General features: G+C 45.8%; 1 annotated feature.

Annotated features, from left to right (window-relative positions):
- Positions 3,284-3,815: an enhancer, noted in NCBI's record as "NANOG hESC enhancer chr20:30858165-30858696 (GRCh37/hg19 assembly coordinates)". NCBI's record gives its function as "activates a minimal SCP1, AML or CMV promoter by ChIP-STARR-seq in primed H9 embryonic stem cells {active_cell/tissue: H9 hESC(primed)}" and the evidence as "EXISTENCE:reporter gene assay evidence [ECO:0000049][PMID:30033119]".

The following is a 17,628-nucleotide window of genomic DNA, read 5'->3' as shown; positions in this document are numbered from 1 at the left end:
TCCCTGTTTTCTAAAAACTTGCTGAAATCCCTGGGCCACTAATGTCTCCTTTTCATTCCTATTCATGTTCTGGGTTAATACATTTTTTATTCCTTATTGCCATATAGATGGGGTTCGAGGGAGAAAAAAATAAATACGCATCATCAATCCACTATGTTTAACTGGATGTGTTTACTGCTATTTAACAAAAATGTATTGTGTTCTTCAAAACAGCTAGAAGACCTGAAATGTACCCAACACATAGAAATGATAAATACTTGGGTGATAGATAACCTAAATACCCTGACTTTATCATTACACATTCTATGCATGTAACAAAATTGCACATGTACCCCATAAATATGTACAAAAACTATTTAAAAATTTTTTTAAACAGGTAGGTAAAAGGTATGAACAGATAGTTCAGAGAAAAGGAATAGAAAATATTGCTTTTAAACATAGGAAAAGGAAAGATACTTATGCTTACTCATATTAAAGAAATGAAAATTAAAACAACTTTTTTTTTTTTTGAGACAGAATATTGCTCTGTTGCCCAGGCTGGAGTGCTGTGGCGCAATCTCAGCTCACTGCAACCTCTACCTCCCGGGTTTAAGTGATTCTCATGCCTCAGCCTCCTGAGTAGCTGGGATTACAGACATGTGCCACCATGCCTGGCTCATTTTTGTATTTTTCAGTAGAGGCAGGGTTTCGCCATGTTGACCAGGCTGGTCTCGAATTCCTGACCTCAAGTGATCCACCTGCCTCAGCCTCCCAAAGTGCTGGGATTGCAGGCATGACCCACTCACTGCACCTGGCCGAAAAAAGAACTTTGGTAAGGCATTGTTGATGACGGTCTGGTCTTGATTCTGTCCTTAGCAAGCTGAATAAAGCTGTGTATTGAAGTGGGATTAGTAGTAGTAGCTGTACAGTTGTAGGGTGACTAACTTGTTCTAGTTTGCACAGGTCTGTCCCTGTTTTAGCACCAAAAGTTCCATGTCCCAAGAAACTCCTTAGTCCAGGCAAACTAGGATGAGTGGTCACCCTAGTATGATGGGGTAACTTCTATATTACCAAGTATGTTTCCACTCCTGGCATTTCCTTTCCATACTGTGTCCTCTTTTCCATCTAACCTGGACTGTGAGGTATTTATTGCTCAGAAAAGAGTTATTTCAGTAGAAAAATAGAGAAAGGACTTTCTGAGCCCCAGAATCTTGGGGAGGAGACTCAGGGAATGAAAGAAGTTTTGAAAAGTCAGAGTAGGGCTTCCAAACCTCTCAATTCTGGAGATTTGCTCAGTTCAATGAAGGGGAGAGATGGTGAGGATGCAAAAAGAGGAAGGAGGCCAGTGGGGCTGGAAAAAAAGGGTCCTGGAGAGATCACATGGACCAGAGCAGAGATCCTCCTTCCTACCTCCCCAAGAGCAAACTCTAGCCTAGAAATGATCTAATTCCAGCGAGCACCATTGTGTCAGTTTATCATAATAATAGATATCATAAATAATAGAAACCAATTCTGATGGTAGCAGAAAAGGAATTTATTAGCAGGGTAGTAGGAAGGCCACAAAATCACCAGGAAGTTTCTAGAAGTGGCCACTAATAAGAAAGGCGAGGCCACGTGGGACCATGTACTACTGGACTTGTATGGTGAGAACACTAGTTGCCCTGCTTTCACCATGGCTACCTGGCCATGGGCACTGTCTCAAGACCATTCTCACCTTCCCTCTCCATAAGGATTCCCCACAGTCTCGACCTCTATAACCCAAGCCTTAATTGGTTGATCCTTGATCACATGCCCATCTCCTACCTGCAGTGGAAGCTGTAAAGACAAACATCTGACCTTTTGGCTTCTATGGTAGGAAGAAGACTGCCTTCCGTTCACAAAGTAAGGAGTCCCCAGACATAGGGAGGGGGTTCTGTTGCTAAGCGGGGGGAAGAATCCCTTTATAACCAGACATCCCCTTTGCCAAGAAACTCCGTTAGCCCTCCTCCTCAACGTCAGTCAGTGAGGACCCTCCTCCCCAGTGGCAGGCATGTCGCCCAGGGACCACCCAGCTGGAATTAAGCCCACTGTGTTATAAAATTTTGCTCAGTCTCCATCTGAGTTGTCCTGTGAGGATGCCCCACTTTAGTGACTAAGATAACCCAAATCCTGTATGACAGAGAAAGGCACTAGATACCTGGCGACTGGGTGGCAGCAGGGGAGTGTGGGAAAGGGCATGCTTGCATCTATCATGGATGGGGATGAATGGAGGCCAAACCAGGAGAAAGGTAAAACATAGCCCAGACACCCATGGATGGTTTTATTATGATCTCATCCAGGAAAAATAACTTCCGATGAACTCTCTACAAAGCTGACAAGTGGCAGATGGCCTGGCTCCCCATGCAAGGGTAAAATCACGATGTTTTCTTTCTTCTCTCACATTTGAGAGCAGCGCTGTCCAACAGATCTTTCCACCGTGGTGGACATGTTCTATATCTGTGCTGTCCAATAAGGCAGCCAACAGCCACATGTGGCTATTGAGCACTTGAAATGAGTCTAGTGCTACTGAAAAACTGAATTGTATTTATTTAATTTTAATTAATTTATGCCTAAGCAGCCACATGCAGCTAGTGGTTATCACATTGGACAGTGCATCTCTGAGCTATGAAAATGACAAGCATGGACTGCGGGGTCCAGACAGTCAAAGGTTTGAATCCCAGCTCCATTCCTTATGTGTTAGCTGAGTGACCCAGTGCACATCACTTGACCTCTCTGGGACTCACATTTCTCATATGCAAAGTGGAGCTAGAAATGCAACTGCTTAGGTTTGTTGTGAGGATTAACTAAAATATGGTCTGGGGCTGGGCACAGTGGCTCACGCCTGTAATTAGGGAGGCCAAGGCCGGTGGACTGCTTAAGCTTAGATGTTTAAGATCAGCCTGGGCAACATGGCAAAACCCTGTGTCTACAAAAAATACAAAAATTAGCCGGTCATGGTGGTGCACACCTGTAGCCCCAGCTACTCAGAAGGTTGATATGGGAGGATTGCTTGAGCCCAGGAAGTTGAGGCTGCAATCAGCTGAGATCACACCACTGCACTCCAGCCTGGGCAACAGAGCAAGATTCTGTCTCAAAAAAAAAAAAAAAAAAAAAAAAAAAAAAAAAAAAAAAAAAGATGCACTTAGTACGTTCTCCATGAATGGTGGCTGTCTTTCCTTTCTTTATCAGTGGAGTCATGGTGCCCTCCAGCAAAGCAATCACTGTAAATGTGAGAAGTCATGCTGGTGAGAGAGTTCAGTATTCCTGGAAATTTAATACCATTTGGGGAGGAGGGCTGAAGAGGGGTTGTATAAAAAGACTGCAAAGGGAACTATTTATTAGAATGCAAGGAGGTGACATCCCAGCGCCCCTTTCAGGAAGAAACAAGATGTAGGGCTTGGACTGAAGCCAAGCACCTGAGCTGTGCTTGATGCTTCTCACTTGGCGGAGTGCCCAGGTTCAGAATGGATGGAACTCTGGGACCTCAGGGAGGCTCTAAGGGCTGAGGATCAAGCTAATGGCTTCTAAATTCACATCTTTGATGTTTTCTGAAGAAAGCCAGACAGGAGTTGGCTGCTAATTGCTTCCTCCTCAGGCACTTAACTGGCTGTGTGATCTTGGGCAAGTGAGTTCACCCTCAGGACCTCGTTTCCCTGCCTGCTTCCCTCAGGGCTGCTGTGAGGGTTTACCCAGGGAATGGGTGTGAAATGCTTTCCCATTTGTAAGGCCCATACATAGTAATACTGAAATAAAGAAAACAATACTCTTTTTTTTTTTATTTTTTTGAGACACAGTCTTGCTCTTTCGCCTAGGCTGGAGTGCAGTGGCATGGTCTCGGCTCACTGCAACCTCCGTCTCCCGAGTTCAAGCGATTCTCCTGCCCCAGCCTCCCTAGTAGCTGAGATTACAGGCATGTGCCACCATGGCCAGCTAATTTTTTTTTTTTTTTTGTATTTTTAGTAGAGATGGGGTTTCACCATGGTGGTCAGCCTGGTCTCGAACTCCTTGACCTCAAATGATCCACCTGCCTCGGCCTCCCAAAATGCTGGGATTGCAGGCGTGAGCCACTGTGCCTGGCCAAGAAAACAGTGATATTAAAGTCTTAGAGCCAGGAGGAGGTCATAAAATCCCTTGACAGACCAAAACTACCACCTAGGTCCCAGGACCGGGTTTTATGTTACTTATTTGTATCCTCTGTGCTTAGCACAGTGGCTGGTGCACTGCACGCAGTACACTTATTTAAAAACATGTATTTGACAGGCGAGGTAATTCATGCTTGTAATCCCAGCATCCTGGGGGCCCAAGGTGGGAGGATCCCCTGACACCAGGAGTTTGAGACCAGCCTGGGCAATGTAGAGAGACTTCATCCCTAAAAATTAAAATTAAAAAATTAGCAGTCAGGCGTGGTGGTTCACGCCTATAATCCCAGCACTTTGGGAGGCCAAGGCAGGTGGATTATGAGGTCAGGAGATCAAGACCGTCCTGGCTAACACGGTGAAACCCTGTCTCTACTAAAAATACAAAAAAATTAGCCAGGTGTGGTGGTGGGTGCCTATAATCCCAGCTACTCGGGAGGCTGAGGCAGGAGAATTGCTTGAACCCGGAAGGCGGAGGTTGCAGTGCGCCGAGATCACGCTGTTGCACTCCAGCCTGGGCAACAGAGCAAGACTCTGTTTCAAAAAAAAAAAAAAAAAAATTAGCTGGTGGTGCATGCCTATAGTCCCAGCTATTTGGGAGGCTGAGGCAAGAGGATCCTTTGAGCCTAGGAGTTTGAGGCTGCAGTGAGCCAAGATCATGCCCCTGCACTTTAGCCTGGGTAATGGAGTGAGACCCTGTCTCAAAAACAAACAAAAAAAATATATTATCATCATTTACTTCTCAAATTAGCAGATTTTTTTTTAAAGCATCATACTTGGCTGGGCTCAGTTGTTCACACCTATAATCCCAGCACTTTGGAAGGCCAAGACAGGAGGATTGCTTGAGCCCAGGAGATTGAGAGCAGCCTGGATAACATAGTGAGTCCCCAATCTCTACAACAAAATTTAAAAATTAGCCAGGTGTGGTGGCACATGCCTGTAGTCTCAGCTACTGGGGAGGCTAAGGCAGGATGATTGCTGGAGCCCAGGAGGTCAAGGCTGAGTGAGCCATGATTGTGCCACTGCACTCCAGCCTGGGTGACAGAGTGAGACCTTGGCTTAAAAAAAGAGAGAGAGAGAGAAAAAGCATCATACACAATGTTGGCAAGGAGCACTTTCATCCCATTGCTGATGGTATTGAGAAATTGCCACAAATTGTAAGAAAATAAATCATGGCCGGGTGCAGTGGCTCACGCCTGTAATCCCAGCACTTTGGGAGGCCGAGGCGGGCAGATCACGAGGTCAGGAGATCAAGACCATCTTGGCTAACACGGTGAAACCCCGTCTCTACTAAAAATACAAAAAAATTAGCCGGGCATGGTGGCAGGCGCCTGTTGCCCTAGCTACTCGGGAGGCTGAGGCGGGAGAATGGCTTGAACCCGGGAGGCGGAGCTTGCAGTGAGCCAAGATTGCGTCACTGAACTCCAGCCTGGGCGACAGAGCAAGACTCCGTCTCAAAAATAAATAAATAAATAAAATAATCATGATGACTAAAAAGCATTTGAGTCAGCCCATTCCATTTCTAGGAATCAATTTTGAGAAAATAATGAGATATACTCGCAAAGATTAGGCACAAGCTTGTTCACCTCAGCTTCACTTGCAACAGGGAAATATTATGTCTGATATTAGAGGAATGGAGAGAATAAGAGATGTCAGTAAGGAGAAATATCATGCTGCCATTGAAAATAATATTTTTCAGCCGGGCGCGATGTCTCACGCCTGTAATCCCAGCACTTCGGGAGGCCAAGGCGGGTGGATCACAAGGTCAGAAGATCGAGAGCATGCCGACCAACATGGTAAAAACCCATCTCTACTAAAAATATAAAAATTAGCTGGGCATGGTGGTGCACACCTGTAGTCCCAGCTACTTGGGAGGCTGAGGCAGGAGAATCACTTAAACCCGGGAGGCAGAGGTTGCAGTGAGCCGAGATCGCACCACTGCACTCCAGCCTGGCAACAGAGTAAGACTCTGTCTAGAAAGAAAGAAAGAAAGAAAGAAAAAAAAAAGAAAGAAAGAAAGAGAGAGAGAGAGAGGAAGGAAGGAAGGAAGGAAGGAAGGAAGGAAGGAAGGAAGGGAGGGAGGGAAATGATATTTTTCAATAGCATCCAATGATATGGGGAAATGCTCATGAAAATATAAGAAAGTAAAAGGATATCTATACTCATTAGGAAAAATTTTTAACTGCTCTATGGTGGTCTTCAAGAAAGTTTCTTATACAATAAACAGAATTAAAAAGGCAACACACGGAATGGGAGAAAACAGTTGCAATTCATATATTAAGGGGTTAATATCCAGGTTCTATAAGGAACTCTGGCCTGGTGCGGTGGCTCATGCCTGTAATCCCAGCACTTTGGGAAGGGGATAGATTACCTGAGCTTAGGAGTTTGAGACCAGCCTGGCCAACATGGTGAACTCTATCTCTACTAATAATACAAAAACTAGCCAGGCATGGTGGCGCATGCCTGTAATCCCAGCTAATTGGGAGGCTGAGGCAGGAGAATCGCTTGAACCCTGGAGGCAGAGGTTGCAGTGAGCCAAGATCGTGCCCGGCAACAAGAGCAAAACTCTGTCTGCAAAAAACAAAAATAACTCCTACAACTCAACAACAAACATATAAACAACCCAATTAAAAACGGACAAAAGCTGGGTGTGGTGGCTCACACCTGTAATCCCAATACTTTTAGAAGCCAAGGCAGGAGGATGGCATGAGACCAGGAATTCAAGGCAGCCTGAGCAACGTGTTAAGACTCTGCCTCTACCAAAAAGCAAGGAAAAAAAAATTAGCCTGGCATGGAGGCTGAGGTATAACAATCATTTGATCCTGAGAGGTCAAGGCTGCAGTGAGCCATGATTGCATCACTGTGCTCCAGCCTGGGTGACAGAGTAAGCCTGTCTCAAAAAAATAAAGAATAGAAAATGGGCGAAGGACTTGAATAGACATTTCTCCAAAGAAACTACAGAAATGGCAAAAAAAACGGCCAGGCGTGGTGGCTCACGCCTGTAATCCCAGCACTTTGGGAGGCCAAGGCGGGGGGATCACCTGAGGTCAGTAGTTTGAGACCAGCCTGACCAACATGGTGAAACCCTACATCTACTAAAAATACAAAATTAGCTGGTCATGGTGGCAGGCGCCTGTAATCCCAGCTACTTGGGGGGCTGAGGCAAGAGAATCACTTGAACCCAGCAGGTGGAGGTTGCTGCCAGCAGAGATCGTGCCACTGCACTCCAGCCTGGGCAACAAGAGTGAAACTCCCTCTCAAAAAAAAAGAAATGAAACACATGAAAAGATATCCAAAATAACTAATTATGGAAATGCAAATCAAACCACAATGAGCTAGCACCTCAAACCCATTAGATGATTATTATAAAAAATAAAAATAAAAAAACAGGAAATACGTGTTGGCAAGGATGGAGAAATTGGAAACCTTATGCGCTGTTGGTGGAAATGTAAAATGGTAGAGGTGCTGCAGTGTTAGTTCATCAAAAAACTAAAAATAGATTTTTATATGATCCAGCAATTCCACTTTAAATACCCAACAGAATTGAAAGCAGGGTCTCAAAGAGATTTTTGTTTACCTATGTTCATAGCAGCATTATTCCCAATAGCCAAAAGGTAGAAGCAACCCATTGTCCCTCAACGGATAAATGGATAATAAAATGTAGTATAAACATAAAATAGAATATTGTTCAACTTCAAAAAGGAATGAGATTCTGACACATGCTACAACATGGATGAATCTTGAGGGTATTATGTTAAATAAACCAGTCACGGGCTGGGAGCGGTGGGTCATGCCTGTAATCCCAGAACTTTGGGAGGCCCAGGCAGGCAGATCACTTGAGGTCAGGAGTTCAAGACCAGCCTGGCCAACATGGTGAAATACTGTCTCTACTAAAAATACAAAAACTAGCTGGGTGTGGTGGTGTGCACCTGTAACCCCAGCTACTCGTGAGGCTGAGGCAGGAGAATCGCTTAAACCTGGGAGGCGAAGGTTGCAGTGAGCTGAGATCACGCCGTTGCACTCCAGCCTGGGTGACAGAGCAAGACTCTGTTTCAAAAAAAAAAAGCCAGGCGTGGTAGCTTATGCCCGTAATCCCAGCACTTTGGGAGGCCCAGGCAGGTGGATCACGAGGTCAGGAGGTCGAGACCAGCCTGGCTACCATGGTGAAACCTCGTCTCTACTAAAAACACAAAAATTAGCTGGGCATGGTGGCAGGCACCTGTAATCCCAGCTACTGAGGAGGTTGAGGCAGGAGAATCGCTTGAACCCAGGAGGTGGAGGTTGCAGTGAGCCGAGATCACACCATTGCACTCCAGCCTGGGTGACAGGGAGAGACTCTGTCTCAAAAAAAAAAAAAAAAAATATATATACATATATATATATATATATATATATATATATATATGTAAACAAATAAATAAACAAACCAGTCACAAAAGGACAAACACAGCATGATTTCACCTGTATGAAGTACTTAGAGTAGTCAAATTCGTGGAGATAGAAAATAGAGTGGTAGTTGCTAGGTGCTGGGGAGAGAAAATGGGAAATTGTTTAATGGAGACAGAGTTTCAGTTTTGGAAGATGAAAAGAGCTCTGAGGATTGGCTGCACAATCATGTAAACGTGCTTAACACTACTGAACCGTACACTAAAAGAGGGCTAATATGGTATATTTTATATGTATTTTACCACAATTTTATTTTTTATTTTAATTTTTTTGAGACAGGGTCTAGCTCTGTACCAGGCTGGAGTGCAGTGAGTGGCACAATCACTGCTCACTGCAGCCTCAACCTCCAGGGATCAAGCGATCCTCCCACCTCAGCCTCCTGAGTAGCTGGGACTACAGGCATGTGCCACCATGTTCAGCTAATTTTTTATCTTTGTATGTTGCCCAGACTGGTCTTGAATTCCTGGGCTCAAGCGATCCTCCCATCTCGGCCTCCTAAAGTGTTGGGATTACAAGCTTGAATCACAGTGCCCAACCCTTACGCAATTTTAAAAAAGAAAAGAGGCTGGGTGCAGTGGCTCATGCCTGTAATCGCAGCACTTTGGGAGGCCAAGGCAGGTGGATTACTTGAGGTCAGGAGTTCGAGACCAGCTTGGCCAACATGGCGAAATCCTGTCTCTACTAAAAATACAAAAATTAGCCTGGCATGGTGGCGGGCACCTGTAGTCTAGCTACTCAGGAGGCTGAGACAGGAGAATCGCTTGAACCCGGTGGAGCAGAGGTTGCAGTGAGTTGAGATTGCACCACTGCACTCCAGCCTGGGCGAAAGAGCAAAACTCCATCTCAAAAAAAAAAGGGAAAGAAAAGAAAGAAAGAAGCAGCCTATTTTCATCCTATTCCATCGCCATCCTCACAATTTGTCTTTTTGTCCTCGCACTTGTTATCTTGTGGTTGCAAGATGGCTGCTAGACATCATACTCACACCAGGGTCTTGGACAGGAAGATGCAGGAACAGAGGTTCTGTCCTAATGAGGCTCTTTTTTTCTATCTATGTAGGGGAGTCCCCCCAAACTTACCACTCGTGTTTCATTGGCCAGAATTGGACCACTTGCATACCCCCAGCACTGTCCAATAAAACTTTCTGTAGTGATGGAAATGTCCTATATCTGTGTTGTCCAAAATGGTAGCCACTAGTCATGGATGGCATTTTTTGTTTGTTTTTGTTTTTGCTTTTGTTTTTTGAGACAAAGTCTGGCTCTTGTCACCAAGGCTGGAGTGTAATGGCATGATCTTGGCTCACTGCAACCTCCGCCTCCTGGGTCCAAGCAATTCTCCTGCCTCAGCTTCCCAAGTAGCTGGGATTACAGTCGCCTGTCACCATGCCCGGTGAATTTTTGTATTTTCAGTAGAGACAGGGTTTCACCATGTTGGCAAGGCTGGTCTCGAACTCCTGACCTCATGATCTGCCAGCCTCAGCCTCCCAAAGTGCTGGGATTACAGGCATGAGCCACCACGCCCGGCCATGGATGGCTCTTAAACACTTAAAATGTGGCTAGTGCAGCAGAAAAACTGCATTTTAAATTTGATTTAATTTTAATTAACATTAGTTTAAAAAGCCACCGGCGTGGGTAATGACAACCATGTTAGACAATGCAGCAATCCAATCTAGAAGGGGAATCAGATTACCATGACTGGTCTAGACCAGCCGTGATTCATCACCTGGCACAGGTTAAATCTTCTCTAAGATTAAGGCAACTCCACGACTACCTAAAAACAAAATTAGAGTTCTGCTGGGCAAGGTGGCTCACGCCTGTAATCCCAGAACTTTGGGAGGCTGAAGTGGGAGGATTGCTTGAGCCCACGAGTTTGAGACCAGCATGGAAAACAAAGCAAGATCCTATCTCTACAAAAAAATTTAAAATCAGCTGGGTGTGGTGGCTCACGCTTGTAGTCCCTGCTACTCAGGAGGCTGAGGTGGGAGGATCACCTGAGCTCAGGAGGTTGAGGCTGTAGTGAGCCGTGATCACGCCTCTGCACTCCAGTCTGGGAAACAGTGAAACCCTGTCTCAAAAAAAAAAATTGGAGTTATGTAAACAGGGAGAAGGGAGAGTGTGTATTGAGTAGGCAATCAATAGCATCTGCTACAGGTATGTTACTGTAGTTTTTTTATGATCACACATTTGACCTAATAGGAAGTATGTGTGCATGTGTGTTGGCACAGAGAAATCTAGAGGGAAATACATCAAATATTTGCAATGGTCATTATCTTTGGGTATTCAGATTATAGTTGATTCTTATTTTCCTCTTAACAGCTTTTCCTATTTTCTAAATTGTATATAGTAAGGAGGAATCATGTTTATTGTTAAAATAAAGCAGCTGTTGTGGTCTTCTTTTTTTTTTTTTTTTTTTTTTTTTTTTGAGACAGAGTCTCGTTCTGTCACCTAAGCTGGAGTGCAGTGGTGCAGTCTCGGCTCACTGCACCCTCTGACTTCCAGGTTCAAGGGATTCTCGTGTCTCAGCCTCCCAAGTAGCTGGGATTACAGGCATGCACTGCCACGCCTGGCTAATTTTTCTATTTTTAGTAGAGATGTGGTTTTGCCATGTTGGCCAGGCTGGCCTCGAACTCCTGGCCTCAAGTGATCCTTCTGCTTCAGCCTCCCAAAGTGCTGGGATTACAAGTGTGAGCCACCACGCCTGGCCTGTTCGTGGTCTTAATGAAGGCCACCATTCTCAACTCCACCATTTGGACATGGTGACTATCACCCTGTAATGGTCACCACCTGGAAAGTCAAGACGGTCCATCAGGATATGGTCACTTATCCTCTCCTTCTCTGAGAAGCAAGGCCATTTCCTGTGCCTTGGGCACACGACTCAGGCTCTACAGAAAACTGGCATCTGACACAGGGGTGGCCAATCCGTCAGGAAACATTTACTGAAACAATTGTGTGAAGGACAATGCTTTAGGAGGTATGTGACCCCTTAAAGTGGTTAAGGTGTAGAGTTTTCACTAGGCTAGGACCCTGGAAGTGTGGAGAATATTGACTATATAAAGTCAATGTGGACTTGGACTAGTCGCTTTCTCTCTCTGAGCCTCAGTTTCTTCATCCACAAATGGGCATGACTCCCGCTGGATGACCTCACAGAATTTCTGTGACAGTTGATAATCAAGCGCTATAGTGAAATGCTCCAGTATTTAATGACCATATAGGAGAAGCATGGTGATTCCACTAAAAGGCCACTAAAGATTCCACATGGAGACTGGGGAGCATGGGGTAGGGGAGAATCACCAGATTTGGAGCCAGGCAGACATAAGTGTGGCTCTCAGGTCTACCATTGACAGCTGTGGAGCTGGACAGGAACACTTATTTTTTTTTTTTTTTTGACACAGGGTCTCACTCTGCTGCCCAGGCTGGAGTACAGTGGCACGATCACAGATCACTGCAGCCTCAACCTCCAGGGCTCAAGCACTTCTCCCACCTAAGCCTCCCCAGTAGCTGGGACTACAGGTGCACACAGCCACACCTGGCTAATTATAAAATTTTCTGTAGAAATGGGAACTCACTTTGTTTTCCAGACTGGTCTCAAACTCCTGGACTCAAAGTGATCCTCCCACCTCAGACTCCCAAAGTGCTGAGATTGCAGGCATGAGCCACTGTGCCCCACCTAGAAACTTGATTTCTCACAGCCAGTACGTAATGGACCCAAAGAGCAGAGGGTGGTATAAGAGTTCATGAACTTGACCTGGATTCAAGACCAAATTCTTCCATTTTTCAGCTGGGTGTGACATTTTGTCTTTTCCTAAAAAGCATCAGAAGTAAATACATGCAATGGTTCATATTTGACCAGTAGGAAAGTGGGATCAGGAAATGAAAGGGTGAGAGCAAAAGGGGTGGAGGGCAGTGGGAGACGATAATCCACAGACACAATGTTGGGGGCTAAGGCAAGGAGACCAAGGGGAAGGCTGCTGGGGGAGCTGAAAATCCCCAAAAGGACATTTATTGAGCACTTATGAGTTAAGCACATCAGTCTTTGTAATCATTCTATCATGAAGGTACTATTATTTTTATTATTATTATTATTATTATTATTATTATTATTATTATTATTATTATTTTTGAGATGGAGTTTCACTCTTGTTGCCCAGGCTGGAGTGCAGTGGTGTGATCTTGGCTCACTGTAACCTCCGCCTCCCACCTCAAGCGATTCTCCTGCCTCAGCCTCCAGAGTAGCTGGGATTACAGGCGCCCGCCGCCATGCCCAGCTAATTTTTGTATTTTTGGTAGAGACGGGGTTCCACCATGTTAGCCAGGCTGGTCTCGAACTCCTGACCTCAGGTAATCTGCCCACCTCGGCCTCCCAAAGTGCTGGAATTATAGGCGTGAGCCACCGCACCCGGCCCAAAGGTACTATTATTATCCCCACCTTACAGATGGGAAGACTGAGGCTCAGTTCATTAACTAGCCAAGGTTGTGTAGCTACCTCGTGGCAGAGTCAGGTTGTAACCCAGAGCTCACACTCTCTCCTCTGCCTACAATCAGGTGACCCCAGCTCAGTCCCTCCCCTTCTCTCAAGTCCTCTGCAAATATTGGGTGTGTTTCTAGGACAGAGAGATGAAAAATATCCTATTCCCCTCGTCCCTGGAGGCTCCCAGACTCTGGAGAAGAGACACAATATATAACTGATTTGAGACGAGTCCTTTCAGAAGCACATTCAGTGAGTGACTTGCAAACCGTGATCATTCTTGGTTAGCCCTCTTTGTGTGTTTCTGCAGAACTGCCCTGCTTACATCTCTCTAATGGCTCCCCATTTTCCAGAGGTTAGGCCAGGTTGTCTTCCTGTCAACACCAGGCCCAACTTAAGTATTGGCGATATTTCCCTTTTTTCTCTGATCAGGCTCCAGGAGCTCACCCGCCTCTAAATACTTTGTTCCACCGGTTCTCCTCACCTAGAATGCCCTCTCCACTAAACCCCTCTCTTCACCTACAAACAACACACCTATGTCCATAGTTGTTCATTGCCCACCATCCCAAAGAAGCAGGATCCTGCAGACATCCTCACTCAGCTGAGTTTTATCTGCATTGTGGACAAAGGAAAATGTCGTATTTCTGGCACTTAAAGGGAAAATGTGAGCTGTACTTCTAATAATTAAAAACAAAGTCCTGGCCCGGCGTGGTGGCTCATGCCTGTAATCCCAGCACTTTGGGAGCGGAGGCGGGTGGATCACCTGAGGTCAAGAGTTCGAGACCAGCCTGGCCAACCCCATCTCTGCTAAAAATACAAAAATGGCCGGGTGTGGTGGCTCACGCCTGTAATCCCAGCACTTTGGGAGGCCCAGGCGGGTGAATCACGAAGTCAGGAGTTCAAGATCAGCCTGGCCAACATGGTGAAACCCCATCTCTACTAAAAATACAAAAAAAATTAGCTGGGTGTGGTGGCGCATACCTGTAATCCCAGCTACTCAAGAGGCTGAGGCAGGAGAATCACTTGAATCCAGGAGGCGGAGGTTGCAGTGAGCCGAGATCAGATAGTCACTGTACTCCAGCCAGGGTGACAGTGCGAGACTCTGTCTCAAAAAAGTAAATAAATAAAAATAAAAATACAAAAATTAGCCAGGCATGGTGGTGCATGCCTGTAATCCTAGCTACTTGGGAGGCTGAGGCATGAGAATCACTTGAACCCAGGAGGCGGAGGTTGCGGTGAGCTGAGATCACCACTGCACTCCAGCCTGGGCGACAGAGTGAGACCCTGTCTCAAAAAAAAACAAAAACAAAAAAACAAAAACCAAAGTCACTGAAACCTTGGAACGTACCTCAACCAGTCTTATAAAAAATTACCTTTGGCCGGACATGGTGGCTCACACCTGTAATCCCAGCACTTTGGGAGGCCGAGGCCGGCGGATCACGAGGTCAGGAGATCAAGACCACCCTGGCCAACACGGTGAAACCCTGTCTCTACTAGAAATACAAAAAATTAGCCGGGCATGGTGGCACGCACCTATAGTCCCAGCTACTCGAGAGGCTGAGGCAGGAGAATCACTTGAACCCGGGAGGCGGAGGTTGCAGTGAGCCAAGATGGAACCACTCCAGCCTGGGCAACACAGCGAGACTCCGTCTCAAAAAAAAAAAAAATTACTTCGCCAGGTGGGGTGGCTCACGCCTGTAATTCCAGCACTTTGTGGGGCCAAGGCGGGTGGATCACCTGAGGTCAGGAGTTTGAGACCAGCCTGACCAACATGGTGAAACTTTGTCTCTACTAAAAATACAAAAATTAGCCAGGTATGGTGGTACACGCTTGTAATCCCAGCTACTCAGGAGGCTGAGACAGGAGAATTGCTTGAACCTGGGAGGCGGAGGTTGCAGTGAGCTGAGATCACGCCACTGCACTTCAGCCTGGGCAACGGCGAGACTCTGTCTAAAAAAAAAAAAAATTGCCTTTATGGGTAAAGCAGGAATTACTGGATGAAAGCTCCAGAGAGACCCTCAAAATAGTTTATTTATTTTACTGATTGATTGATTGATTGATTGATTGATTTTGAGACAGGGTCTTGCTCTGTCACCCACGCTGGAGTGCAGTGGCACAATCACAGGTTACTGTAGGCTTGACATCCAGGCTCAAGCTATCCTCCCACCTCAACCTCCCAAGTAGCTGGGACTATAGCCACACACCACCGCACTCAGCTAATTTTGGTATTTTTGTAGAGACAGGGTCTCCCTATGTTGCCCAGGCTGGTCTTGAACTCCTGGGCTCAAGCAATTCACCTGCCTTGGGCTCCCAAAAAGTGTTGGGATTATAGGAGTGAGCCACTGTGCCCAGCCAAAAATAGTTTATTTATTGTAGTTATTAATATTTAGCATTATTTATTTATTTATTGAGACAGGGTATCATTCTGTCACCTGGGCTGGAGTGCAGTGGCACAATCTCAGCTCACTGCAACCTCTGCCTCCAAAGTTCAAGTGATTCTTCTGCCTCAGCCTCACGAATAGCTGGGATTACAGGTGTGCAACACAACGCCTGGCTAATTTTTGTATTTTTAGTAGAGACGCGGTTTTGCTCTGTTGGCCAGGCCACACCTATAATTTCAGCACTTTGGGAGGTTGAGGTGGGAGGATCTTTTGAGCCCAGGAGTCCGAGACCAGCCTGTCTCTACAAAAAAAAAAAAAATTAAAAATTAGTCAATTATGGTGGCATGTACCAGTAGTTCTGGCTACTTGGGAGACTGAGGTGGGAGGATCACTTGAGCCCAGGAGTTTGAGGCTGCAGTGAGAGATAGAGCAAGACTTCGTCCCTGAAAAAGGAAAAAAAGAGGTAGGTAAGTGCTATTATTATTCCCATTTTACAGATGAGAATTGAGGCTACAATTATGCAATGAGTAAGTCGCAGAGCGAGATTCAAAGCCTGTTTTAACCCAGCTTTAAAGCCTGAGACTTTGGCCACCTTGGACTCACAAGCCTGTGAACCAGAGACAGCACAGGTCTGCAGTTGTATTTCCTGTGGGCTGTTCAGTGTTTTATAAACTAGAGAATTAGGCCGGGCATAATGGCTCACGCCTGTAACCCCAGCACTTTGGGAGGCCGAGGCGCGCAGATCACGAGGTTGGGAGTTCGAGACCAGCCTGGCCAATATGGTGAAACCCCATCAGTACTAAAAATACAAAAATTAGCTGAGTGTGGCAGCGGGCACCTGTAGTCCCAGCTACTTGGGAGGCTGAGGCGGAAGAAGCACTTGAACCTGGGAGGCGGAGGTTGCAGTGAGCCGAGATTGTGTCACTGCACTCCAACCTGGGCAAAAGAGCGAGATTCTGTCTCAAAAATAAAATAAAATAAAGAATTAATTGCCAATTTAAAACCCAGGAAATTGCCTGACACAGTGGCTCATGCCTGTAACCCCAGCACTTTGGGAAGCCAAGGCGGGTGGATCGCTTGAGCTCAAGAGTTTGAGACCGACCTGGGCAACATGGCAAAACCTTGTCTCTACAGAAATTAGCCAGGTGTAGTGGTGTGCACCTGTAGTCCCAGATACTCAGGAGGCTGAAGTGGGAGGATTGCTTGAGCCCGGGAGACAGAAGTCGCAGTGAGCTGAGATCATGCCACCACTCCAGCCTGGGTGACACAGTGAGACCCTGTCTCAAAAAAAAAAGGGAAATTTCCTATAAAATCGGGATTTTTCAGCTTCTCTTGAAATATCTAAAGATCTGGCTACACTGGACCTAAGTCCCATATGGCAACAATTGGCTGGGAGGAGTAGCAGTTGCTACAGTTAAAGGGGGTGTGTGCATTGCACTTTGACTTAGACCCCCAGCCCCCACTCCACCACATTGACCTGCCTCATTCATCTGGTCCTTGAAAGCATTTGGGGATTTTTTTGTGGTTTTTTTTTTTTTTTTTTTTTTTGAGACAGAGTCTCGTTCTATTGCCCAGACTGGAGTGCAGTGGCGCGATCTCAGCTCACTGCAACCTCCACCTTCCAGGTTCAAGTGATTCTCCTGCCTCAGCCTCCTGAGTAGCTGGAATTACAGGTGTACACAACCACTCCCAGCTAGTTTTTGTATTTTTAGTAGAGATGGGATTTCATCATGTTGGCCAGGCTGGTCTTGAACTCCTGAACTCAGGTGATCCGCCTGCCTCGGCCTCCCAAAGTGCTGGGATTACAGGTGTGAGCTACCACGCCCAGCCCTTGGAAGCATTTGAATTTGTGACTCCTGGGTCCATACTTTCTAACAGTTGGAATTGCCTTGCAATGTACTGATCTCCCCGTCACTGGAAATGTGCAAACTCAGGCTAGATGGCTACTGTAGGGATGTCAGAGAGGGATTTCAAGAGCCAGTTGGGTAATTAGATCAGATAACATACATTATGCTTTCCAGCCCTGCAATGACAAATATTTACTTAAGACTTTGCAGCATATATTTTTGAGAACTAACTTCCCCTCTGGTTTCAACTTACTGTTTCAGTCTTTCCTTTCCCTTTCCCTTGGTTTCTTGATCTATTTATATATTTTTAATCATACGATTATACTGTATGAATCCCTGTAAGCTTCCTCAAATCTTTTC

The sequence above is a fragment of the Homo sapiens genome, chromosome 20 (assembly GCF_000001405.40).
Source record: "Homo sapiens chromosome 20, GRCh38.p14 Primary Assembly".
NCBI classification, from domain to species: domain Eukaryota; kingdom Metazoa; phylum Chordata; class Mammalia; order Primates; family Hominidae; genus Homo; species Homo sapiens.
The sequence above is the reverse complement of the archived record's forward strand: the minus strand, read 5'-3'. Positions and strand labels throughout refer to the sequence as shown.